Source organism: Homo sapiens, chromosome 2, assembly GCF_000001405.40.
Source record: "Homo sapiens chromosome 2, GRCh38.p14 Primary Assembly".
NCBI classification, from domain to species: domain Eukaryota; kingdom Metazoa; phylum Chordata; class Mammalia; order Primates; family Hominidae; genus Homo; species Homo sapiens.
Genome location: NC_000002.12, coordinates 110,602,533 through 110,629,413, shown reverse-complemented (window position 1 = coordinate 110,629,413; position 26,881 = coordinate 110,602,533). Strand labels below are relative to the sequence as shown.

The 26,881-nt window shown below is 41.5% G+C and overlaps 1 protein-coding gene and 1 long non-coding RNA gene across 8 annotated transcripts in view, besides 1 other annotated feature; one reads left to right on the top strand and one right to left on the bottom strand.

The window, feature by feature from the left end:
* Nucleotides 1-16,718: 16,718 nt before the first annotated feature.
* Nucleotides 16,719-18,288, bottom strand: LOC105373553 (uncharacterized). Its single transcript, NR_135529.1, has 2 exons — nt 18,219-18,288; nt 16,719-17,476 (listed from the first exon to the last, which is right to left on the bottom strand). It is a non-coding gene; the product is annotated as an uncharacterized LOC105373553 (long non-coding RNA).
* Nucleotides 18,289-18,357: 69 nt separating this feature from the next.
* RGPD6 (RANBP2 like and GRIP domain containing 6) overlaps nt 18,358-26,881 on the top strand; it is a 97,255-nt gene continuing 88,731 nt past the window's right edge. For 5 of the 7 annotated variants that reach the window (XM_047445731.1, XM_017004839.2, XM_011511770.3 and 2 more), the window contains exon 1: nt 18,571-18,699. In XM_047445731.1, coding sequence (XP_047301687.1) covers nt 18,679-18,699 — 21 coding nt within the window. In that variant the 5' untranslated portion in view covers nt 18,571-18,678. Of the gene's footprint in view, nt 18,433-18,570; nt 18,700-26,881 lie in introns of those variants that run through there. The other 2 variants (NM_001384362.1, NM_001384363.1) reach the window with 2 other exon arrangements.
* Nucleotides 18,674-19,246: an enhancer, noted in NCBI's record as "H3K4me1 hESC enhancer chr2:111367745-111368317 (GRCh37/hg19 assembly coordinates)". NCBI's record gives its function as "activates a minimal SCP1, AML or CMV promoter by ChIP-STARR-seq in naive H9 embryonic stem cells {active_cell/tissue: H9 hESC(naive)}" and the evidence as "EXISTENCE:reporter gene assay evidence [ECO:0000049][PMID:30033119]".

The following is a 26,881-nucleotide window of genomic DNA, read 5'->3' as shown; positions in this document are numbered from 1 at the left end:
GAATTTAAAATTTAAAACACAATTCCACAAAAAGGAAGTACTTAAAAATCTTAAAAAATATACAAGATATAGGCCAGGGGAGGTGGCTCACACCTGTAATCCCAGCACTTTGGGAGGCCGGGATGGGCGGATCACCTGAGGTCAGGAATTTGAGACCAGCCTGGCCAACATGGTGAAATCCCGTCTCTACGAAAAATAGAAAATTAGCCGGGCATGGTGGCAGGTGCCTGTAATCCCAGCTATTTGCGAGGCTGAGGCACAAGAATTGCTTGTACCTGGGAGGCGGAGGTTGCAGTGAGCCGAGACCGTGCCATTGCACTCCAGCCTGGGTGACAAGAGGGAAACTCCTTCTCAAAAAAACAAAAACAAAAACAAACAAACAAACTATATATGTATGAATGATATATATGGGGAAGACTACAAAACTCTGATAAAAAATAAAGATTTGAATAAACAGAGAAGTATTCCATGTTCATGAATAGGAAGATCCAATATTGTTAGGATGTCAGTTATTCCCAACTTAATCTGTAGATCCAATACAATCCTAATAAAAATCTCAGCAAGTTGTTTTGTGGAATTAACAAATTGATTCTAAAGTTTATATAAAGAGGCAAAAGACCCAGAATAGTCAACATGGTATTAAAGGAGAATGAAGTCAGAGTACTGACACCATCTGATTTCAAGACTTACTCACTTATCTCACTTATAAGTGAGAACATAACGCTAGAACAATCAGGACAATGTGGTATTAGCAGAACATTAGATGAATAGGTCAATGGAATAGAATTGAAAGCCCAAAAATAGATGCCAACAGGTATAGTCAACTGATATTTGCAAAGGAGCAAAGACAATTTAATACAGAAATAAATGATGCTGAAATGATTGGACATCTACATTAAAAAAAATCTAGCCAGGCATGGTGGCTCACACCTGTAATCCCAATGCTTTGGGAGGCGGAGATGGGAGAATCACTTGAGCTCAGGAGGTCAAGACCAGCCTGTGCAACATAGAGAGACCCCCTGTCTACAAAAAATTTAAAAATTAGCTGAGTGTGGTGGCTAGTGCCTGTAGTCTCAGCTACTCGGGAAGCTGAGGTGGGAGGATGGCTTGAACCTGGGAGGCTGACGCTGCAGTAAGCCATGATGGCATCACTGCACTACAGCCTGGGTGGCAGAGCAAGACCCCATCTCAAAAAATAATAAAAATCTAGACATAGACCTTACACGTTTCACAAAAATTAACTCAAAGTGTATCAATGACTTCAATGTAAAATGCAAAATGATAAAACTTTAAAAATATAACATTGAAGAAAATCTAGGTAATCATGGGTTTGGCTGACTTTTTAGGTATGAAACCAAAAGCAATATCCATAAAAGAAAAATCGACAATTGGACTTTGCTAAAAATAACAATTGCTGTTCTGTGAAAGACACTATTAAGAGAATGAGAAGACAAGCCACAGGTTGAAAGAAAATATTTGCAAAGATATATCTGATAAAGGACTGTTATCCAAAATATACAAAGAACTCTTTTTTTCTATTTTTCTTTTTGCAACTTTTAGTTTTGATTCAGCGGATATTTGTGCAGATTTGCTACCTGGGTATATTGTGTGATGCTGATGTTTGGGGTATGAATGATCCTGTCACTCAGGTGTCAAGCATAGTACCCAATAGTTTTTCAACCCTTGCCACCTCCCATCCCCCTCATTTACTAGTCCCCAGTGTCTATTGCCATCTTTACGTCCATGAGTACCCAATGTTTAGCTCCCACTTATAAGTGAGAATATGTGGCAGTAGATTTTCTGTTCCTGGGTTTATTCACTTAGGATGATGGACTGCAGTTGCATCCATGCTGTTGCAGAGCATAGGATTTTGTTCCTTTTTATGGCTGCATAGTATTCCATGGTATATATGTACCATGTATTCTTTATCAAATCCACCATTGATGGGCACCTAAGTTGATTCTATGTCTTTGCTTTTGTGAATAGTGCTATGATGAACATGTGAGTGCAAGTGTCTTTTTGGTAGAACAATTTTTCTTTTGGATATATATCCAATAATGGGATTTCTGGGTTGAATGGTAGTTCTAAGTTCTTTGAGAAATCTCCAAACTGCTTTCCACAGTGGCTGAGCTAATTTACATTCCCAACAATACTGTATAAGCATTCTCTTTTCTCTGCAGTCTTGTCAGCATCTGTTGTTTTTTGACTTTGTAATAATAGCCATTCTTACTAGCGTGAGATGTTTTCTCATTGTGGTTTTGATTTGCATTTCTTTGATGAATTAGTGATGTTGAGCATCTTTTCATATATTTCTTAGGCACTTATATGTTTTCTTTTGAGAAATTTTTTTTTTTTTTTGCTTGTTGATTTGTTTACATTCCTTATAGATTCTGGATGTAGACCTTTGTCAGACGTGTAGTTTGCGAATAGTTTCTCCCATTCTGTGGCTGTTTACTCCAAATTATACAAAGAATTCTTAATAGCCAATAATAATAAAATAAATGATCTAATTAACAAGTAAGTAAGAGATCTGAATAGATATCTCACCAAAGTAGATATACAAATGGCAAATAATTAATTGTATGAAAAGATGCTCAACATCATATGTCACCAGGGAACTGGAAATTAAAACAACAATTACATATCACTAAACACCGATTAGAATGGCTAAAATCCAGAACACTGATAACATCGAATGCTGGTGAGAATGTGGAGCAACAGGAATTCTCACTCATTGCTGGTGGAAAAGCAAAGCAGCACCATTACTTTGGAAGACTTTGGCTGTTTCTTACAAAACTAAACATACTCTTACTATACAATCTACTAATCAAGCTCTTTGATATTTATCCAAAGAAGTTGTAAATTTATGTCCCCACCAAAAATGCACATGAGTGCGTATAGCAGCTTTATTCACAATTGTCTCAAACTGGAAGCAGTAGGTGAATGGATAAACAATCTGTGGTATATCTATATCATGGAATATTATTCAGCAATAAAAGGATGTGAACTATATATATTTTTTCCGTTTTGTTTGTTTGTTTTTGTTTTTGTTTTTTGAGACAAGGTCTGGTTCTATTGCCCGGGCTGGAGTGTGGTGGTGTGATCTTGGCTCACTGCAATCTTTGCCTCCCAGGCTGAAGTTTTTCTCCCACCTCAGCCTCCCAAGTACCTGGTACTACAGGCATGTACTATTATGCCCAGTTAATTTTTTAAAATTTTTTATAGAGGTAGGATTTTGCCATGTTGCCCAGGCTGGTCTTAAACTTGTGAGCTCAAGTGATCTGCTCACCTCAGCCTCCCAAAGTGCTGAGGTTACAAGCATGAGCCACCACGCTGTCCAGGACATGAACTGTTAAGCCATGCAAAATCATGGAGAAACTTTAAATGTATGTTGCAAGGTGAAGGAAGCCTGTCAGAAAAGGCTACACACTGTAAGATTCCAACCATTTGGCATTCTGGAAAAGGCAAAACTATAGAGACAGTAAAATGATCAGTAGTTGGTGGGGGATGGGAGCCAGGAATAAATAGGTGGAGCACAGCAGATTTTTAGGGCAGTAAAACTATTTTTTATGATTCTGTGATGATGGACATATGCCATTGTGCATTTGTCAGAAGCCCTAGAAGTACAAAACATAAAGGCATAGCCCGGCGGGGGATGGTGGCTCACGCCTTTAATCCCAGCACTTTGGGAGGCTGAGGCGGGTGGATCACCTGAGGTCAGGAGTTCAAGACCAGCCTGGGCAACATGGTGAATCCCCATCTCTGCAAAAATACAAAAATTAGCCAGGCATGGTGGTGTGTGCCTGTAATCCCAGCTACTCGGGAAGCTGAGGCGGGAGAATCGCTTGAATCCGGGAGGCAAAGGTTGCAGTCAGCCTAGATTGCACCATTGCACTCAAGCATGGGCAATAGAGTAAGATTCCATCTAAAAAAAAAAAAAAGGTAGTCCTAATTAAAATTAAGGATTCAGTGAATAATAATGCATCATTATTGGTTAATCAGTTGTAGCAAATGTACTACAGTGAAGTTAATGATAGAGGAAACTGGAAGAGGGGAGATGAGGAGAAAGTGGGGGAGGAAGTAAAGGAGACACTGTATTTTCTGCTTGGTTTTTCTGTAAAACCAAGCTCTAAACATAGTGTATTAGTTTTTAAAAAGGTAATGAAATGCTTGAAAAAAAGGTAAAGATATTGAGAAAAAGTTCTGGCTTCAATAGTTGAGTAATGAGCACAGCACATTTGATTGACAATTCTGAAATCTACATTAAACATACCAGCTAATTAGTTTCTATTACATTCCAATAAATGTATAAAGAATTAGAACAAATGAACTAATTTTCCAAAACTCTCCTGTAAACATGTAGAAAGATCTAAAGAGATACTAAATCAAACCACTGTTATAGGTGGTGACACTGTATTTGGAAAATGTTTATAAATGTGCCAATCCAAAATTATAAAAAAGTCATTTCGACTTCTAGGAATGGCAAGGTATTTGTGAAATCTCGCATAGACTTAAGTGATGTTTCCACAAATATTCTTCATTTTTTTTTTTTGTTATACACAACAGATGATGCTATGGTTTAGATGTTGGCCCCTGAACCTCATGTTAAAATTTAATACCCAGTGTTGGAGGTGGGGCCTAATGGGAGGTGTTTGGATCATGGGGTTGGCTCCCTCATGAGTAGATTAATGCCCTCCCTGGCGGGGGATTTATGAGTGAATTCTTGCTCTGTTAGTTCCCATGAGAGCTGGTTGTTAAAGGAGCCTGGTACCTCCTCCTCTCTCTCTTGCTTCCTCTCTCGCCATGCGATTTCTGCATGCCAACTCCCCTTTGTCTTTCTCCATGAGTGGAGGCAGCCAGAGGCCCTCACCACATGCCCAATCTTTCAGCCAACAGAATTGTGAGCCAAATAAATCATTTTTCTTTATAAACTATCTAGTCTCAGGTATTCTTTTATGGCAACCCAGATGGGCTGAGACAGATGATATCCATTCTTAGTAACATAGCGCAAATAATATATCTATATGCCTTTCTTATCCTTGATTTCTTTATATATGAAACATGATTCATATAGCACCATGATCTTCCCAATATTACTGAACATTTATTAAGAAAATATTCATTATCTTATCAGCATATGAGGTAATAAAAAATACCAGCTTTAGTAGTTAAGTGAATCTAATAGGTACAAAAATGAATATTTTATTACACTGAGCAAGATCCCCAGATTTAGAAAACAGACATTTATGACTATAAAATAATTATGACTAGACATAATCTAAATTCGTTTTGAGGTATAAAATTAGTTTTCCTTTCAAAATGATTCAAATCAACGACTCTAAAAAGTGTTTTTTTAAATATGCCTGATGTTCAAGGACGACTTTGCCCTATAAGATCATTAACAGGCTTAACGCCTGTAATCCCAGCACTTTGCGGGGCCGAGGTGGGCAGATCTCCTGAGGTCAGGAGTTCGAGCCTGGCCAGCCTGGTGAAATCCCGTCTCTACTAAAAATATAAAATTAGCTGGGCGTGATGATGGGTGCCTGTAATTCCAGTTACTCCGGAGGCTGAGGCAGGAGAACTGGGGTGGCGGAGGTTGCAGTGAGCCAAGATTGCGCCATTGCACTTGATTGAGCCTGGGCAAAAAGAGCAAAACCCTGTCTCAAAAAAAAAAAAATCATTAATAATACCTACACACTAAACTTTTGGTTCAGTTTGGTAGTAATTTGAATGTACTGTCTAAGGTAAACTAACTTTTGTTCCTGTCATTCTCAACCCAGTTGTTTAACATCAAGGTTAGAATGCCATGGTCTTGCATTTCCATCAAACTACTTCTTACAGGGTCCTAAATTTCCATTAAACTTAAGTTGAAGGAGATTGTCGGAAAAAAATATTAAGCTAAAGGAATTTTAAATTTTTTAACATTTATACCTTTTTTTTTTTTTTTTTTTTTTTGAGGCGGAGTCTCGCTCTGTCGCCAGGCTGGAGTGCAATGGCGTGATCTTGGCTCACTGCAACCTCCACCTCTCGGGTTCAAGCAATTCTCCTGCCTCAGCCTCCTGAGTAGCTGGGACTACAGGCGCACATCATCACACCCAGCTAATTTTTCTATTTTTAACAGAGACGGGGTTTCACCACATTGGCCAGGTGATCCACCCACCTCAGCCTCCCGAAGCGTTGGGATTACAGGCGTGAGCCACCGCACCTGGCCTAACATTTATACCTCTTTAAGAGGATCTGTCTCACAAATTCTTATCCTCTAAGTCTAAGCCAAATAAACAACACTAACCAATATACTTTCAGTGGACTGATTACAAGTTACCTTTCCATGGAAAATAAAACATTTTGGTTTTTCATTTTCTAGGTGTAAAAATTGCTTAGCCCGCCTTACCTTTAAAAGAGTATTTATATTGTAACCCCCAGTACTATTGCATAACTCTTCAATTTTCTGTACAACAGAGAATGAGACACAATTAGAATTCTATATTCCCCATTTAAAAAACTGGCTTAGGCCGGGCGCAGTGGCTCACGCCTGTAATCCCAGCAGTTTGGGAGGCCGAGGCGGGCGGATTACCTGAGGTCAGGCGTTCAAAACCAGCCTGGCCAACATGGCAAAACCCCATCTCTACGAAAAACACAAAAATTAGCTGGGCATGGTGGCATATGCCTCTAATCCCAGCTACTTGGGAGACTGAGGCAGGAGAATCGCTTGAACCCAGGAGGCGGAGGTTGCAGTGAGCCAAGATTGTGCCACTGCATTCTGGCCTGGGTGACAGAGAGAGACTCCATCTCAATAAATAAATAAATAAATAAATAAATAAATAAATAAATAAAGACTAGCTTAAAATAAACATGTATAAAAAATGAATTTACCCTTAGTAATAGAAAGGAAACCATATACTGCCTGAAATATCCCTACAATTTAGCATTTGTGAAACCTTTAGCATTTTATTCATATGTCTATGAATTGCATTATGACTTCTCTTTACTACACAACTCAGATGATTTGTTCCAAAGAAGTATAGAAACCTAACTTTGGAATGAACACCCAGCTGAGTTTCTTTCAGTGGAGAGCAGAGAGAGGTATATTTGGTATGACCAGCGTTCAGAGCAACTGAATCGAACCTCCACGGTGGAAACACTGATACTCTTGCTAGCTGATGTGTGCGGCTTCATCGGAGGATGAGTGTGTCTTTAGTGTCAGCTGAAACAGGGAAGATCACTTTGTTAAAGTTATCAAGTATTTGCAAGAAATACTTTCCAGTGATGGTAAAAGCCATGTGTATTGTCCTGAAAAGTCTCTAAGATGCTTTAATATAAGGTAATAAACCCATAGACAAATAGAGGAGTAGAGGCATCCTTTAAGAACTGTTCTGAGGCGGGCGCAGTGGCTCACACCTGTAATCCCGGCACTTTGGGAGGCTGAGGTGGGTGGATCACCTGAGGTCAGGAGTTTGAGACCAGTCTGGCCTTGTCAGGCATGGTGAAACATGGCAAAACACTGTCTCTACTAAAAATACAAAAAATTAGTTGGGCATGGTGGCAGGCACCTATAATCCCAGCTACTTGAAAGGCTGAGGCAGGAGAATTGCTTGAAGCCAGAAGGCAGAGGTTACAGTGAGCTGAGATCATGCCACTGCACTCCAGCCTGGGTGACAGAGTGAGACTCCATCTAAAAAAAAAAAAAGAAAACAAAAAACACTTCTAATAGGTGCAAGATTAGAAAGTTTGAGAAATAATTACAATTATTATTTAATATGATACAATTGTTTTTAAGAAATTTAGCCTAATGAATGTTAGGGTTGGATGGAACTTGACTTGATTTTTAACTACTGACAAGGTCACATAATGTGGTATGTTTTATGGACAACACATATGCTTTGCTGAATATATATTTCTTCCCTTAACAATAAAACCTGTTTCATAGCATGTCACACCATTTGTTAGCTTATCTCCAGAAAAAACTGATGTCATACAAGAGTCCCTTTAAAACCTGTTTGGATAATAATGAGTATTACAGTCATTCAAAACTTAATTAAAATGACAAACTCAAATATATGAAAAGTTCTCAATGCCAGCTCACTTCTTTTCTGAGCCTCTAAAGCATTTTATAGATTTATGAATTTTGAATTTTCAGTATGATAGATGTTTGACTGTGTTTAAATCATATATAGCCAGAAATGTACAATTCTCTAAAGTACATCACAGGCTGGTGGTGTTGAAGATGTGCTAAGTTAACACTGTGACAACATGAAAGGCTGCTGTGAACTGAATTCTGGTCACAGCACAAGAGTAGTGCATACAAGCACAACCATAGGAGATTGTGTGGGTCAAGGATACTTTTGCTGAGTTCATAGAAAATAGAGGAAACATCTAGGTGTTCTGGGTTATGCTAATGGTTGAAAACAGCAGCAGGGAGCTTTGTAACCCCCAAGCTTAACATATCTGGGCCTGAGATTCCTCACAACTGAATGAGGTTGAACTAAATGGTTGATTCTCACCTAGCTACCCTGCCCTTCTCTCTTGTCCACATGAGGCTATTGTAAAAATTTGATAAGATCAAGGACTTCGCATGGTAGCTGGCATCTACTTAGTGCTGAACAGGTAAAAAGAATCACTACTATAATAATAATAATAATAATAATAATTTTTTTTTTTCGAGTCAGAGTCTTGTTCTGTCACCCAGGCTGGAGTGCACTGGCGTGATCTCGTCTCACTGCAACCTCCACCTCCCGAATTCAAGTGATTCTTCTGCCTCAGCCTACTGAGTAGCTGGGATTACAGGCGTGCACCACTATGCCCTACTAATTTTGGTACTTTTAGTAGAGACGGGGTTTCACCATGTTAGCCAGGCTTGTCTCGAACTCCTGACCTCGTGATCTGCCCTCCTCGGCCTCCCAAAGTGCTGGGATTATTGGAGTGAGCCACTGCACCCGGCCCCACTACTATAATTATTAACCCTATTTATAAAACCAAATTAATCTACCTTAGGTGTCAGTCAGGTCCCTACATTGGGATTGTTTAGGAACAGGCTGGATGATCCTTTGTTGACAAGGATTTAGTAACTGGTTAAAACTAGGACTAGGATCCAGGGAACAGGGCAGAGGAGTCTAGATACCTCTGTTAGTTCTATTTATGTGAAACAAATGACTGGAAACCTCAAATTACCAATTGATTTATGTTGAGTGTTAGGAATGTCTCTCAGACTTCCTTCATTTCTGACCCATAGACTCTCTTCAAAAGGACTCTTCTAATTAGACAAAATATACCTCTTGATTATATCACAGTCAGAATACTATAGACCTTAAATATATCTGCAACCACCCCCCACCCCTGCCACCTCCAGCATTGCCATGTAAGGTTATCTAATTAGGGAAATGACATCCCAATATATTCAGAAGTCCAGGCCCCCCTCAATGGGAGGAGATTGTACAGGAGTGGACTCCAGGGGACAGAATCTGGGGGACTGTCTTAGAATTGTGTCTACCAAAATAGCCTTTCAGTCCCCTTCCAACTTAGAAAGTTGGAGGTTCTAATTTACAAGGAGGAGCAGCTCAAGGTTTATCAGAAAGAACTGGGAGAGATGAGAGAGGGAAACAACAGGAACTGAGCTCCCGCTGTTCAGCAGAGAGAGTGCTCTGTATGCTTCAGCTGATCTGATTCTCACAAGAATTGGTAGCACCCTCATGAGGAGGCGTGAGCTTCCCAGGACAACACACCCACATCTTCATTGCATTTCCTCTCCTCTGTGGCTGTGATGCTCTCGATACTAAACCTCACCGCCTCATTTGCCCCATCAGTGCCTTGCCTGTGCAGCCCTCTTCCTTCTTTCTGCTCCTACTGCCCTTCATCCCCCGCCACCAGTCCATCCTTGCCCCAGTACGGCTGGGGACACTCACCCGCATACTGCATGCTCCTGCGGCGTCTCCTTCTGCCTGTTTCCTCCCTCCTAGCCTCCTCTCCCTGCCCTCTCCTGCTTGTCAAGGTGAGGAATAACCATGGCAGTGTAGGTGGGAAAGTATGAACAGGTTTGACATTTTAAAGGAGGAATTATATTAACATCAGACTTCATTCATAAATTATGCATTATTTATCCATGTTCATATAAATATTTGCCATGTGTATGAACACATAATACTAATATAATGGTTAAGATGCATAATTTTGTGTCTCTCAGTTCATTTTCAGTCATTTTCTGATGGATCCAAATTTCTACTAATAAAATTATGTTTAGAGCTGCATAAAAAGCTAGAAACTGACCAACATATGGTATTTTTCAGCAACTTTGGCTGCATATGTATTGAAAAGTATCAATCTATTGAAAAGTATTTAATCTGTAACCTCATCACTTATTACTTGTCACAAAATTTTGCATTCAATAACCCAAATAATATCACAATTCCTATTTTTATCTTACTTTTAAAAATTGAGTCACATGGCAAAATTCTGAGTTCTTAAATGAATTGTGGGCTAAAGGGTTCTTTTTAGAAATTTTTTAATTTTATTTTTGTGGGCATGTAGTAGGTACATATTCATGGAGTATGTGAGATGTTTTGATTCAGGCATGCCCTGCATAATAATCACATCAGGGTAAATGGGGTATCCATCCCCTCAAGCATTTATACTTTTTTTGCATTACAAACAACCCAATTATACTTTTTTAGTTATTCTAAAATGTACAATACATCACTGTTGACTATAGTCACTCTGTTATGCTATCAAATACTAGATATTATTCATTCTATCTAACTATATTTTTGTACCCATTAATCACCCCTATTTCCCCTCACCCTCCACTTCCCTTTCCAGCCTCTGGTCACCATCCTTCTGCTCTCTGTCTCCATGAATTCAGTTGTTTTGATTTTTAGCTCCCACAAATAAGTGAGAATATGGGAAATTTGTTTTTCTGTGCCTGGTTTATTTCACTTAACACTATGACCTCGAGTTCCATCCATGTTGTTGTAAATGACAGGATCCCATTCCTTTTTTACAGCTGAATAGTACTCCGTAGGGTATATGCACCACATTTTCTTGATGCATTTGTCTGTTGATGGATACTTGGGCTGCTTCCAAATCTTGGCTATTGTGAATACTGCTGCAATAAACATGGGAGTGCAGATATCCCTTCAATACACTGATTTTCTTTCTTTTAGGTATATACCTAGCAGTGGGGTTGCTGGATCATTTGGTAGTTCTATTTTTCATTTTCTGAGAAACCCCCCAAACTGTTCTCCATAGTGGTTGAACTAATTTACATTCCCACCAACAGTGAACATGGATTCTCTTTTCTCCATATTGTTGCCAGTATTTGTTATTGGTTGTCTTTTGCATAAAAGCCATTCCAACTAAGGTGGGATGATATCTCATTGTAGTTTTGATTTGCATTTCTCTGCTGACTGATGATGTTGAGCACCTTTTTATACGCCTGTTTGCCATTTATATGTCTTCTTTGGAGAAATGTCTACTCAGAATTTTTGTCCATTTTTTAATCACATTATTCGATTTTTTTCCTATAGAGTTGTTTGAGCTCCTTATGTATTCTAGTTATTAATCCATTGTCAGATGAGCAGTTTGCAAATATTTTCTCCCATTCTGTGGGTTGTCTCTTTACTTGTTGATTGTTTCCTTTGCTGTGTATAAGCTTTTAAACAAGTGACCCATTTGTCCATTTTTGCTTTGGTTGCCCATGCCTGTGGGGTATTACTCAAAAAATCTTTATCTAGGCCAATGTCCTGGAGGGTTTCCCCAATGTTTTTGTGGAGTAGTTTCATAGTTTGAGGACTTGGATTTAAGTCTTTAACCCATTTTGATTTGATTTTTGTATGTGGCAAGAGACAGGGGTCTAGTTTCATTCTTCTGCCTTTGCATACCCAGTTTTCCCAGCACCATTTATTGAAGAGCCCATCCTTTCCCCAATGTCTGTTCTCGGCACTTTGTTAAAACTGAGTTCACTGCAGGAGTATGGGTTTGTTTCTGGATCCTCTGTTCTGTTCCGTTGGTCTATGTGTCTGTTTTTATGCCAGTACAATGCTGTTTTGATTACTATAGCTCTGTAGTATAATTTGAAGTCAGGTAATGTGATTCTTCCAGTTTTGTTCTTTTTGTTTAGGATAGCTTTGGCTATTCTGGGTCTTGTGTGGTTCCATGAAAATTTTAGGATTTTTTTTCTATGTCTGTGAATGTCTTCGGTATTTTGTTAGGGATTGCATTGAACCTGTAGATTGCTTTGAGTAGTATGGACGTTTTAACAATATTGACTCTTCCAATCCATGAACATGGAATATCTTTCCATTTCTTTGTGTCCTCTTCAATTCTTTCAACAGTGTTTCACAGTTTTCATTGTAGAGATCATTCATTTCTTTGGTTAAGTTTATTTCTAGATATTTTATTTTATTTGTAGCTATTGTAGATGGGATTATTTCCTTGATTTCTTTTTCAGATTGTTTACTGTTGGCATATAGAAATGCTACTGATTTTTGTATGTTAATTTTGTATTCTGCAACTTTACTGAATTTATCAGTTCTAATAGTTTTTTGGTGGAGTCTTTAGGTTTTTCCAAATTTAAGATCATGTCATATATAAGAATAATTTGACTTCTTCCTTTCCAATTTGGATGCCATTTATTTCTTTCTTTTGTCTGATTGCTCTAGCTAGGACTTCCTAAAGGGTTCTTGATAGAGTTTTTTCCTGGTTTGAGTTTTCTGATGAATTCCAGCAGATAGTTTTTCCACTTTGACTTTAGGATTAGTATTGCCCCGCTGTGAGAACTGTAATACTGACTGAGGAATGAGTGATCACTGGGCCCTGTCCCTCATTAGTTACACTGAAATTGTTCTGTACTACGTGAATCCTTGTGTGTCCTACAAGAGTTGCTCTGTGAGTAAAGGGTTTCTTTCTTTTTTTTTTTTTTTTTTGTAAAGGGTTTCTTATGTTTATTTCACTTCCTTCTCCAGTATACATTATCTGATGTTCCCCTATTCCATTTTAACCACACCAGGGGTATATGGAAATCCAATTCTGACACTAACTATCAAGAGTTAGCATCAGACTTCACATATTTAAAGGCTCATTCCCACAAAGCTGTTCTTAAGATTTCAGATGCTAGGCACACCTTGGGGGGGGGGGCCCAAGCCACTTGTACTTCTACACAACTGGCTATAAAATCAGAGGTTTTCATTTCATTTCCCCTCAGATTCAATAATTCACTGAAATAACTCATAGAGCTCAAGAGTAAGCAATAATTATGATTACAGGTTTATTATAAAACATACAACTTGGTAACAACTACATGAAGGGATGTATAGGGTGAGGTCTAGAGGGAATGCAGAGCTGTGTGCCCTCTCCCCATGGAGTCACTGCTGGTTACCCTCCTGGTCAGCAAAGTGTTCACCAACCTAGAAGCTCCCCTGAACCTCAGTGTCTAGAGAGCTTTCTGAGGTTTCATTATGTAGGCTTGGTTGATTAAATCATTGACCACATAATCAAACTCAATCTCCTGCTCCTCCCACCCCCAGGTTGGGCTGGGTCAAAGTATCAACCCTGTAATTGCATAGTTGATCTTTCTGGTGACCTGTCCCCATCCTGAAGCTATCTAGGGGCTCATCACAGTCACCTCACTAGCATCTCTAAGACACTGCTGTCACTCAGAAAACTCCAAGGGTTTTTGAAGCTCACCTGGATTTGGGCTCTGGAGAAATCCTTCCTTCCCTCCACAGCATTGCTTCTTGCTTCAACTGGGAAATCATGAATGACTTGCAGAGCTGATGCTCTCTGGGCAAAGTTGCATGGATTTTGAATTCTGTGTGAGAACTGTGTGTGATCTTCAGATCTAAGGCAGGCTCCCAACAAGACAAGGCGAGCATGGAAGGGCACCCGGGGAAGAGCACCTTGAACACCAAGGACATTGAGGGCCCTTCCCTGGAGCAGGAAGGAAAACCCCTGACACCAAGCCCCTGAGTCTCAGCAGCAGTGAAGATTTAAATGTTTCCACAGTGGGTTGTGGAATTTATTCTCATAATTAATGCAATAAAATTAAGATCCATTGGAACAATCTAGGTTCTATTTGGAAAAGAAAATGGCTATATTTTTATTACTATGGTCTCAAACCCTAGCTTAGTGCTTAAAACAGTATTGTCACTTAGTAAAAAATTTAATCCATTTATTTATTCAAAAAAATAGTCATTGAGTTCCCAGCACTGTTCTCAATGTTGGAGATGGAGTAGTAATAAAGACACAAAACTGTGGTCAGGAAGACGTGTTCTAGTGGTTGATAAACTAGATTTAAGTAAATAAACAATGTTCAGGCAGTTGTAAGTGCTGTGAAAGAAAACAGATGAGGAAAGAGACAAAGTGGCGTATGTGGAAGCTGCCTGGCCTGACGGGCTGAGCACCTGATGAAACACCTACCTCCATACCCGACCTTCAGCACCTGCTGTCACACATCCCTGTTACCTGTGGTCACCACACACCTAAGACCCCTGCAACCACTGACATGGTTAATTGAGTGAGTCATTTCCCTAACACAGCATTGGATGGATGAGAAAAAGACAGCCCTTCACTTATGTTCCCTGAAAGGACATCCTCAACGGAGAATGAAAAAATTAATGTACATGTTGGGAAGGACATGATCTCATGATGAGTTCTTGATCTGCCATGAGCATTCCAGAGTTCTGGAGAAACAGAACTTGCATGAACACTTCCCGGACACCCTTACTAATAGAAGATCCAGGCCAAGAGGAGAAATGTGCTCGTCTGCTGGCAAAGGGTAATCAACTCAGGAGAAAGAGCAAGTCCCCACGCACCCGTGGGTTCCTTGTCAGGAACTCGGCTGCCACCTGTCTTCCTCCACATTCTCCTTCAGGATGGTCTGAAAACTAAGCAGACAAAGCTGAAGAAGGATAAAGAAACCATGAGACCCTGGTCTTATTCACCCCTTCATGGACCTCCAAGCCTTCATCTGGGAGTGAGTGACACCAGCTCCAACCCACATGTACCTGCAGGGTGATCTAAGACAAACAGGAGGAACCCTTTTTTCCCAGATCACAAGGAAGAAGGCTTTGGCTACAGCAACTCATAAGGAACATGTGAAAATCCTCATTTTATAGAAAAATAAGAGGACAATTATAGTGTTGTATGCTTTGCTTAGACCTGGTTTTCAGGGATATCATATAATTCCCTCCCTGATGGCAACTCCTAGGAGGACCTGACTCATGTCACATGGTGATTCTTCTTTGCACAACCAAGAACAAAACTTTGTGACTTAATACTTCTTGGTTAGGTGCATTAGCATTCTTTCCCTAACACTCACCCAGCCCTGCAGAACAACCACCTCCCTGCTGTGCCCTGCCCTCACCCTCCCTGTCCTGTCCCACCCTACCCCCTTCCTCTCCATCCTGCCCTGTCCCCCACCCCCACGCTCCCCCCACCCCCACCCTCCAATGCACTTGCCCTCAATCATCTTGACTCCCCAGCATGTGGGTTCAGGCAGCACCAGAGCCTCAATCCCAGCTCCATGCCCCAGGGCCTGAATGTGCAGCCAAGCACATTTGGAATCTGTTTAACAGTGGACATAACAATTCAAAGCCTCATCCCCTGTTGGAGGGTTCAGTGGTTCACTCTGCTAGTTTAGCAACAAAACCCCTTTTACCAAAAAGAAGCGGGAGTGAGCCCTTTCTAATGCCACTGCTGTGTCTCACAGTCATCCTACGGCAGTGGAGCTCATAGAATACAGAAGGAAAGAGCTTAGTTTTGGGGGATATTTGACTCCTTTGGAAATCTTAGTAAAATGGTAGCTGGAGTTCTGCCTTAGTAATTATCATTGGCAGGAACATCTCAGCATTTCATAATTTATGTTTTTGAAGCATTTGCCAACAGTAGACTACTTTCCAGAACAACGTTAATAATTGGATGTATTGCATGGACAGATAGTGATAATGAGTCATGAACAGGGTGGGAAGACAACTCCTTGAGTGAAGTCCCCAAAAGAGAAAAAAATCCCCATAGCATTAATTGAGGCTCTGTGAATCAGTTACTTGAGATTGCTTATGTAATCCACCTTGTTTACTCCTCTGGGTGAGGTGACTCACTTTTGGAGGCCAAAGATAGATCATGAGGTCAGGAGTTTGAGACCAGCCTGGCCAACACGGTGAAACCCTGTCTCTACTAAAAATACAAAAACTAGCTGGGCGTGGTGGTGCATGCCTGTAATCCCAGCTACTGGGAAGACTGAGGCAGGAGGATGGCTTGAACCCAGGAGGTGGAGGTTGCAGTGAGCCGAAATCATGCCACTGCACTCCAGCCTGGGTGACAGAGCAGGATTCCATCTCAAAAAAAAAAAAAAAAAAAAATCCTCACAATAAGTGTGCTATTTGTGGATCAGCTGTCCATATAACAAGTGACATGAAGTAAGTTCTAAAAGCTTTATGAATGTGACCAAGTCTCATGCTACAAAATGACAGAGCTAGAATTTAAACCAAGCTCTGCCTATCTCTATCTCAAATTTCTACATGTGTTTGTCTTGAGAGAGGTGGACACCAGAGTCAGGTTTTACTGGAATATGTCTCCTGTCTGACCAGCGAGAAGAGGCTTTTCCTTGTTATCAGAGCCTTTTCTTTTCAGTCTGAACACACAGTCACTACCCTACCCCAAGCCCAGGTTCTACTCTATGCTCCCACGTCTCCTTATTTTTACTCTAAACCAAAAAGTGCCTGAGACAGATCTTCGTTGATTAGAGGTTTATTTTGCCCAGGTTGAGAATGTACCCAGGAAAAAGAAATGCAAGTTATAATAGGATCTGTGACCTATGCTTTTTCCAAAGAGGGTTTTGGGAACTTCATTATTTAAAGGGAAAAGAGCAAGCAGGAGGGGAAGAAAAAAGAGGAGGGAGGGTAGGCAGCAAGGCAAGTGCTTTCATTCTTGTGGGGCTCTGATTAGCACTCAATGAATCCACATTTCACATAACGCAAGCATGTGAAATTACAGCCATCTATTTGGGAACAAAAGGAAGGCAGTTTTTGCCTGACTCAGTCTCCCACGCTTAACTTTCCCTTTGGCATAGTGAGTTTGGGGTCCCAAGATTCTACTTTTCCTTCACATTACTCATCCTTACTCATTGCAACACATATGTACCAAAGACCAACAGTTCTCATGTCCACCTGACATTTCGCATCTATTGATCAAGAGTCCAATCCCAGATGATTCCAAATGTCACCTTTTCCCTGGCAGTATTTGCCCTAACAGATAGGTGCTATGTCAAAGCCACCCTTTGACTGACTACAATCACCAAGGATCTTCCTGTTCATAAATCTTGGTAAGATCACAGTTATCGCCCTGTAATTAAATTCCATGGAGTGTTTCTCAGCATTTGGGTTGGAACTAAAGCAGAATTGGAACGTAACCTCTTTTTCTCAACAGATTCAGAGTCCTTGAAACTTGCATGAATGGCCAGGGCACATCTTGAAGACGCATGACAAAGAACCTGTGGGGATATTAAGATTTAAGTCAGGATGATTGGTTCTTGTTACCAGCATCAAAGGATCTTCTCATATCACAAAATAATGAGATTATCCCCCAACATTGGTCAGCATGGCATAAAATACATGATCTGTGATAGGAGATGCTTTTCTGATCCGCTTTTATGAAAAGTAAATGTCCTTCCTGCCTGCATTTTCAACTTTAGTATGTGTGCCTGCCTTTTTCTTTTTAAAATGTAGTAAGCTTCACCCACCAGCCTTTAGTACCGGCTGTATAAGGAGCAACTAACACCAAGACATACATGCTTATGCCCCATCCACTTTATTTTAAAGCACTCTTCAATTTGTCAATACTTTAATTCTCTAAGCAGTGTTATAGTGGCTGACCACTTTTGAAATTATCTTTGTTTTGTTTGGTACTTGAAGGGCATGAAAAACTTCCCTCCACTTCCTTCCCCTCTCCCGGGGCTCATTTTCCCCTCTCTTTTCTCTGCCCTGCTTGCCCTCTGACCCTGCCGAGCTCTGCTGTTTCCACAGACTTCTGAATCTAATTAATGTCATAGTGACTATATAAGTGAATTATGTAGGCAGGAGGATGCGGGAAACTTTGGGGAAGGTGCATTCCTTAGGGAAAAACCTGGTTTTGTTAAAAAAAAAAAAAAAAAGGAAAGAAATGCACATTCCCAGGAACACTCATTCCCAGGGGGTAGAATGTCAGTGAAGCATAAAACCTCAGCAACTACTTACATTCAATAAATATCTGTTGTCTGATGAGCAGACGGAACCCTAGGAGCGGCGGCGGCGGCGGCGCAGGGCCGGGGGCGGGGCCGGGGGCCAGGCGGGGCGGGGGCGGCGGCGGCGGCGGCGGCGGCGGCGGCGCAGGGCCGGGGGCGGTGGCGGCGGCGGCGCGGCGAGCTCGCTGCTCTCTCTTGAGTGTGCCTGCGCGCAAGCCGGGGAGCGGGTGAGTGCGCCGGCCGCTGCAGCCAGCCCGGCCGGCCCGGAGTCGGGGGCGGGGGGCGTCGGGAGCCCCGACCTGGGGGCGGGCGGCGGCCGCTCTGGCGCGGCTGGGATGCACCTTGAGCGGCGCCTTTCGTCGCAGCGCGCGGGCGGCCCGAGCTTCGGCGGCGGCGGCGGCAGCGGCGGCAGCGGCGGCGGCGACGCTGACACCTCCCACCATGGACAGCTTCGACTTAGCCCTGCTCCAGGAATGGGACCTCGAGTCACTGTGGTAAGTCCCCGTGCCGGCCGCTTCGGGCGGGCGGGAGCGGCGAGGGGCGGCCGCGGCGGCCCGCGCGTCCTCACCTGGGCCGGGGGCTCCGGGCGGCCGGCCGCCGTGGGGGTGGGGTGGGTCGGGGGCGCCTGCCTCGCCAGCCCTTTTCTGCCTCCCCGGGTGGGATGCGTGGCCGCCTGCCCGTCTGTTTCCCCCTCTCCTGTTCGCCTCCCTCGCGGCGGCCCGCCCCAGCCCAGGGACTGGTGATCTAGGTAGCCAGGGGCAGAGCGCAGCCGTGGGGAGGAAAAGAAGCGATTTGAAGACTGCGTCACTAATGCCTGGGGATCCACCCGTCGGCCCCCTGCTCCTCTCACTTCCTTTCCCTCCGACTGCGCCCCCTCCCTCCTCCGGCTGGCACCACCGACCCCCTGGAGTTGGTGCTGCTGCGAAGTGCCCTTAGAGGATGCTCCAGCCTCCCCGCCTGCGCCCGGTCTCGGCTGCATCCTTTCTGTCTCTCCCACCCACTTCCACCGAGATGGAAAAGTGAACATCCAGGGCGGGAAACGAGGGTTTCTCCGTGCCAGTATTCCAGAGGCCTTAGCCCAGGGAGACTCCTTTCCTCGGGGTTCACAGTTCCTCTGGGCCCTTTCTTCACACCTCGTCACAGTTGCACTCCTCCTCCCCACCCCACCCGGGCGCCCCGGGTATCCCTTTGTGCCACGCTCACAGCTCGCAGCCCGGGGGGCACTCCAGGTTCCGTTTCTCGGGGATCTCACACTGGGGAGCTGCTGTAGGTAAATCGCCGCTGGAAGCAGTTTAATTCCAGTTGCGGGTGTCTTAAAAATCCCATTGGCTGCTTTAGTATCTGTCTTATTCCCCCTTCTTTCTCTGCTCCCCCCAACCCCCCACTATCTCTTAAATGTTTCCAACCAGCACTATTCAGGTGGTAAAATTACTGCCTGCATATTCCTGGAGGAACTTGTGTTATGTTTAATATTTACGGGGATGAACATCTGCTGGAACAAGCATATTAACTGCACTCTGTTCTGCCTCTGGTAATCGCTTATTGTAGAGCTGAGCTTGTTTTTTTTTTCCTTTTGCTTTAATTCAGTAAAGAGTTCACATGTGTCTAAAACTGCATGTGATGTGCACATGAATATGCAATGTACAATTTTAAAGCTAAACTGCTTTATGATTTATAACTCATATAGATGATATGTGGATCTGTGTGTATTTTCTGTGATTTAGGTTTCCAGTGACTTTTATTTTCCTAAAGACAGGTGTAACAAAATAAACTGGACACAAAGCTAGCACATTATCGAACGGTTTCTTATAAAAGATCCTATGATGAGTAAGTACAGCTTGCTCTGCATAATGTTGGTGCCTGTAAAACACACAAGGACGGGCCCTAATGTAATAAAACTTTTACGTATTGCACTGGAAACTTCAAAGAGCCAGGGCAGAAAGAATATGAAACATGTTATGACTGTGTAAAAGTTGCTAATTACTGTGTTGCTGCTCCTGGGGTTATTTCAGCCTTTCATTTACAGATACCTATTATTTTATAGGTTTACATTTAGAAATGTTGGTTTCTGGCGCAAATTCAATAGCTTTCCAGATAGCAACTGTACTTTTAAAATGCTGTTTGCTTTTAAAAGGCAGTTTTTCAGTCAAAGGGAAGAACTTACTGTTTCGGTATATTTTTATGCTGCTTGTCTGCTTGCTGACTCAAAGCGAACCCCCTTATGACTTTCATAAGTAATATTTTGAGATTATCAGCGTAATTTGTGGGGTCTTCCTGCACAGAACCTGAGCTCTGTTTCCTTTTGCATCCTTAGTTCCCAGCTGAATTACCCTGGAGCAGTGTCACAGAATAAATATCTGTTGAATTGACTTGAAATTTACATTAGCAGTACATTTATTACTTTTAAAAAAACAAAAACTTACACGTTTTTTAAAAAGTTGATGTACGTGCAATCACATTTTAATGAGTGCATCGAGTTTTGGCTTATGAAGGCATGTAGACTTTCTTGATCACAATATACTAGGACAGTTTGGCTTGACCGGGAGGGTTTCTAGTTTTGCAGATGTAGAATTACATTTTACAAAAGCTTATATGTTTCTGATAAGTTAAAGAAAAACCAAGCTTGAGTATGCATTTCTAATATGTTTAGACATTTTCTCACAGATGAATTTTTGGATGCTATGTTCTCAGTTTTATGGTTTACGTAAATTTTTAAGTTTATGGTTACTTTTAAGCTTATAGATGGTTCAAAATAACTAATATTTGAGAACTTTCTGTGTGTCCAGTACTTTCATATCCATTGTTTTCTTATTTGAATCTCTTAATCCTGGAAAGGGTAAGTAAGTGGTAGTAGTTCCATTTTATAGATGAGGAAATAGAAGCTTTGAACTGTTAAATGACTTTACTGAGGTCATAAAACAGATGACAGCAGACTTTTTAAAACTAACATTTGCTGAACACGTATTATTTATCAGACACTGTTCTGGGTACATTACATGTTTTAGCTCATTTAATTATAAAGCAAGTACTGTTATTAGTTCCATTTTAAAGATAGGAAAATTGAAGATGGGAAGATAGGGTAACCTGCCCAGAGTCACACATCTAAAAATGGGGCAGCCATATTTCAACCAGAAATTAGCTTCAAAGCCCAGTGATCTGACTTCAAATCCAGTCAGACAATTGCCATTTTCTAGAGTACTTCAAATATCTCTCAGCTTATAAGGACAGCTCTGAAATTAATTACAAAACAAAACCTCGATGGACTGGAAGTTAAGGTCCTACTAAAATAACAAAGAGAGAGAGCCCTAAATGGTATTAAAATTAAAAATTTGAAAATAAACTACCATAGTTAGGAAAGTATACCTGTTAATTATGAATTATTGTATTAGAGCAATATACATTTTAAAGACCATTGAAAACTTCTTCCTTTGATTGATCATAGAAAAACTTTTTTGAAGGAGGAAGGAGGAGGTACAGATTAATGGCAAAAGAGAATCTTAATCCCTAAGAACTTTTTCTAATTGATGGACATCATTTTCCAATTGAACAAATTGGAATTTATTAGTGGTGACTGTGGCTTTGAATCTGAGCTAGTTTATTCTTGCAGTCACAGAGAGTGTCCTCAAATGACTGTATAGAAAATATAAAGGGAAAAGCTCAGTTCTGTTGAATATAATCAATATACACAATCAATTGATAATTCACAACTACCTCCTTTGCCTTCTTGCACGCTCTTCCTGCCACTCAGAAACATCCATACTTACTCTTCAGGATGGGTTTTTTGAGCCTGAATTATCCAGATGGCTGTTTCAACTTTTTCAGCCATACCTTAAAGTTGAAAAGGATGGCCCTAATTTCCACCTCTAATTCCACTTCCAATTTCTGGTTTGAAGCAAGACTGGAGAACTTGGAAAAAGGTGAAGGTGTTCATTCAGCACCCGACACTGTAGCTTTGTTCTGTAGAGTCTTGAAGAGTTGGGCATTCCGTGAGTTTACAGGGGCAGCAGATATGCAGAGGCGCAAGGCTGCCCCCTCCACTCCCTGGTCTTCCTTCTGTGGTCCACCAGCTTTTGATTAGGTGCTAGACATATAAGCCATTCCTCAGGGCCTTTAAAATAATGACCATCCCTTTTAACAGGCTAACTGTTGCTTTCATTTAATTCGTTTAACAAATATTTATTGATCATCTCTTAAGTAGAAGACCTTGTGCTGGTTTCTGTGGGAGATGCAAGGATGAGTAAGGTGTAGGTTGTACATATTAGTGTTATTGTCAAGTGAGGAAATTAAGACAAGAACACACATGAAAAAGGAAGTTTTCAACACTGGTGATTCAGAAAAGAGACCATATTTGGGACTTGGGTGGAGGATGGAAAGAGGAAAAATTGAGTTAAAAAACGAAAAAAGGCTTCCATGAAATAGGTGGCCTTTGAACTAAGTCTTGGAAGACAGATGGTGTGGGTGGGGGTATTGAGAGTACATGGAGACATCTTGGGCAAAGAAAACTTGAACAAGGGCTTTCATGGTGTCTCTAAAAGATCATTTTATGCATCATGGTGGAATTACCTATACTGTCTCTTTTAAAGATGCAGAACTTTGTAGTCATGAGGTAGTTTCAGTGAATGAGAAAAGTTTTCCAAAATGAACTTGTATTTCATCTTCCTTAAATGTTAACACATTTTAATCATTGGAGAGAAAGTCTATCAACATACAACAGTATAATAAATATTCTGATCTTCCCTACCACTCACCCCATTCCTCCACAGCTTCATATAAGCCAGAATCCACACACTTTTGTTCAGATAGGCATTATTCTTTATATTCCTTTAAGTTGGAGCCTTTGAAGTTATAATACATGGATCATTTCATACTCATCAACCTGTTCAATTCAATAAGCATTCACAGAATATTAGACAGAGGAGAGGTACCATCAGGGCAGTGACTTTCAAATGCTTCAGACCATGACCCCCAGTAACAAATACACGTTTAACACTGCCACCCACCACCCCTTGAACATGCATACACGTAAGTGAAACAAGAGCATCATGAAATAACGCTTATTACTATGTGTGATACACTTCGATATTTCCTATCCTCTTTCTTTCTCTTTTTTCTTTTTTTTAGAATTTCCCATTCATAGGCTGAAACCTGCAGTTTAGGAAACCCTGCTGTACAGGGGTCAAAGGACAGTGTGTTTTTTGGGAACTTAATAGAAGAATAAGCCATACCCATAAATACCTGCAATCCAAGGCTGACACTGCCTGCTTGAGGGGGCATGGGCACATCCTGTTGAAAGTAAGATATTCATGGTGGGGTGGCATTTGAAATGGGTCCTGGAGTAGAATTTCAGGAGGAAATGGAAAGGAGGAAAACCACGTGGTGGGAAGACTGTGAATAGAAACATGGAGGGAATAAAGTGTGGATCTTGTTTGGTGAAGGTAGGCTAACAGGCAGGGAGGGATGCAGAGGCACTAGCAGTTTAGTCTCCCTAAGGATGCTGCCCAGTAGTGCCCGCTGATGCTTTTGCTTGTCTTCAAATCAACTGCCAGGGGACATGCGCAGGCCAGTGGGCGGCTTCCTCCAGGCCTTTTTAGACTTTACTTCATAGTGCCAGAAAATGCTACAGATCCCTGATCTTGACCTTCAGGTGCCTCTACCCTTTCCTCCAGCTGCAGTAAAGCAAACATTTTAAGGCCTATTCCTATCCTTTTGGTCAGTCCTTATGGGTCAAAACAGAGTACAAAGAAAGGGCAGAAGGAGAGTGCACCTGTCTGAGCCCCAGGTGTCCTGGAGCTGATTGGTAGACAGCAGCTCTGCAGAGCTGCGTGTACTCACACTGGCCGAAGGTCACCGTGTAGTTGACTGCGTGGCTCTCATTGGCCCTCAGCATGGGCCTGGAGGGGCCTCGGCAGGTACGAGGAGGCAAAGCCTTCTCAGTAGAGTGGCTTCCAGGGCTAGGGCTGTGGGCAGCAGTGGGGAAGGGGCTGCTCATCAGCCTGGAGGAGGCAGGGGCCCTCGATGGGAAGCAGTGGAGTGTTGCATCCGCTGTGGAGGAGCTCAGCCCTCGTGTGGGGCGTGTTTTGGAGAAAGCTGGGTGGAGAGACTGGTTAGTTCAGGGCGCCGAGAACTTGGGGACTCCAGCTGGGCTGGGGCCCCAGAGGATACCAGGGAGGAGGAACCCAGGGAGTGTGCACCTTAATGTGTGGATAGGTTTTTAACCAAATGTATCTGGATGACGATGAAGATGAGTATTGTGTGTGGGGAAATGATTCCTTCCTGTGTTCCAGATTCTCTTTTGTGAAAATGTAGGAGGGTTTTAAAATGCTAAGAATCTATTTTGGGAGAATGTCCTTGTTAACTACAATGGGTCTAATCAATGACACTTGAGCAACTTGAACGAAGACCTTTGGCTTAATACAGATTAATAGGCAAATTAAGAAAAAAAAACCTCTCAATATGGAATGCAAGATTTTGTGTGTAAGTGGAATTTTTAACCTGGAATAGATTTGCCTGTTTGATTTTTTTTTTTATTTTAATTTTTGGGAATAAAGTCTTGGTGGCAAAATCGAGGCCCCATAAAAGACGATTTTAATATCATTTAATGGTAACATAATTTTTTTGTTGTTTTATTTCAAAGTGAAATCCATAAAACTTATTTTCAATGTTGGCTGTTCCCTTTTGTCTTGGAATTTAATTGAGGTTTCTGAATTCAGCTGGCCCCAACCTTGCTTTCTGTTTGGCCCTGGGCAGCTCATGATTTTTCTCATTTCCTATTCTCAGTCTTGGTTTAATCACTTATAAAATGACAGCACTTAGACTGGCCTACCTCATAAGGTTGTGACGTTAAGTAATAAAAGTGTCAATTGCTCTGAATGCCAAATGTAGCTCTTCTATACCCTTTGCTTTCTTAAAAATGTCTCTTTTTCATAAACAAGGAAGAATACAGAAAGGCCGCATAAGGTCAGATTCAGCAGTCCATGCGGTGCAGCGTTCTGTCCCTGGCAACAGGACCCTGGGACGGTTTTGAGTAGAGGTTGGTAGCTTTTCTTAGTCGTGCATCATAGTCCAGCAGACAAATATGCTCTTACTTACGGTGGTACTACTCACATATGTAGATCTATTAACCATTACATAATCTTTTATGTTTCACTGAGAATGTATTGCATTACCAACCATTACATCGAATGACTTCATTTGGCACTGTGGGTCTCATTAAATTATGTCAGGCTAATCATAATTTAGTTTCACTGGAAACAAAATACACAGTGTTTATGTCAGAGTAAGAGGACACCACCCAATCCAAGGAACTAAATGGGTTGAATCTAAGGAAACTACCACCCGGGATATGATAGGGGCCTTAAGTGTTTGAAGGCATTTAGCTGGGAAGTGGGAATAGAGTTGTTCTGGGTTGCTCAAGGGCACGAGTAAGATCAGTGGGTGTGAGAGCATTTAACAGTGATGTGATGTGGGCTGTCTCAAAGGGTAACAATTACCTGACTTTGTAGAAAGACATTCCTGGGTAGGCAGAGCGGCAGCAATAGGCTATCTCCGAGATTCCTTCCAGCTTCAAAATTCTATGATCATTCCCCTCACAGGGTAGCAGGAATCAAAGAGTGCAGAAGTCATTAATTGTATTCACTTGTGTATTTTTCCTCTGCAATTTCCCCACTCACCTGTGGAGAAAGGCATAGAGGGTACTTAAACTTCTTCACATAATTTCTTCCCAGGAGGCTCATTGTTAGCGGAGGTAAACAAAAATGACTGTAATTTGGAGACCACTTTAACATAGCAACTCCATTTAGAGAGTTATGTGCTTAACTTGATACTGGAAATAATTTTATTTTTCCTTTTATATGGGCAGGAAATTAGTTTCGAAAATCCCCTAGAGGACCATGATGTGAGTCTGTTGGTCTTAAATTTTTCTTCTCATATCTGTACTGTTTACCTGCGTTATGAAGTGACAGAACAGAATTTCAGCCAGTGTTCATTGACATGTTAATTAGTTACCTGGCAATTTAGATAGGAAGAGGCTTTACTGTAGTGGATCACCACCAGTTCTGGGAAATAATCTGTTTTTGTTTTAAAATTTCAAAATATATTTGTTTTCACGTAGAATGCTTGTAGAAGAAGAAAAGACCCAGGGTGTAGAAAATAGTTTTGAGAGCATAGGTCAGTATGCTTAGCTCTCACTCGGGGAATGCTTCTCAAACTTCCATGTGCATCCAAATAATCTAGAGGCCTTGTTAAAATACACATTCTAATCTAATAGAACCAGGAGTCCGCATTTCTAACTGGCTCCCAAGTATTAGTTTTGGTCCACAGACCAAACTTTGACTTGTAAGGACTAAATGGACAAAAATTTCCTTTGAAAAGAAGCCCTTTCAAAATTTGCATTTCCTTCTCCCTGTTTTGGGGACACCTTTGTGTAATAACAGTCCAGTTCCATAAAGCTTGACGGTTGCGTTTAGATGCAGTATTTATTTTATTTTTGTGAGTCTTTCTAATACAATTCTGATGAGTGAGGGGGTGGTTAATTGTATTCTGGTGGAGATATGGTGGGAAGTAAACATAAAAACCTAAGTAAACACAATTTGTAATAAATAGGCTAATCACTTTTTATAGCCTCTCAGTTCTCATCATTCCTTCAAAGCCCGGGACCTTCTGTTGTATCGGGCTCGA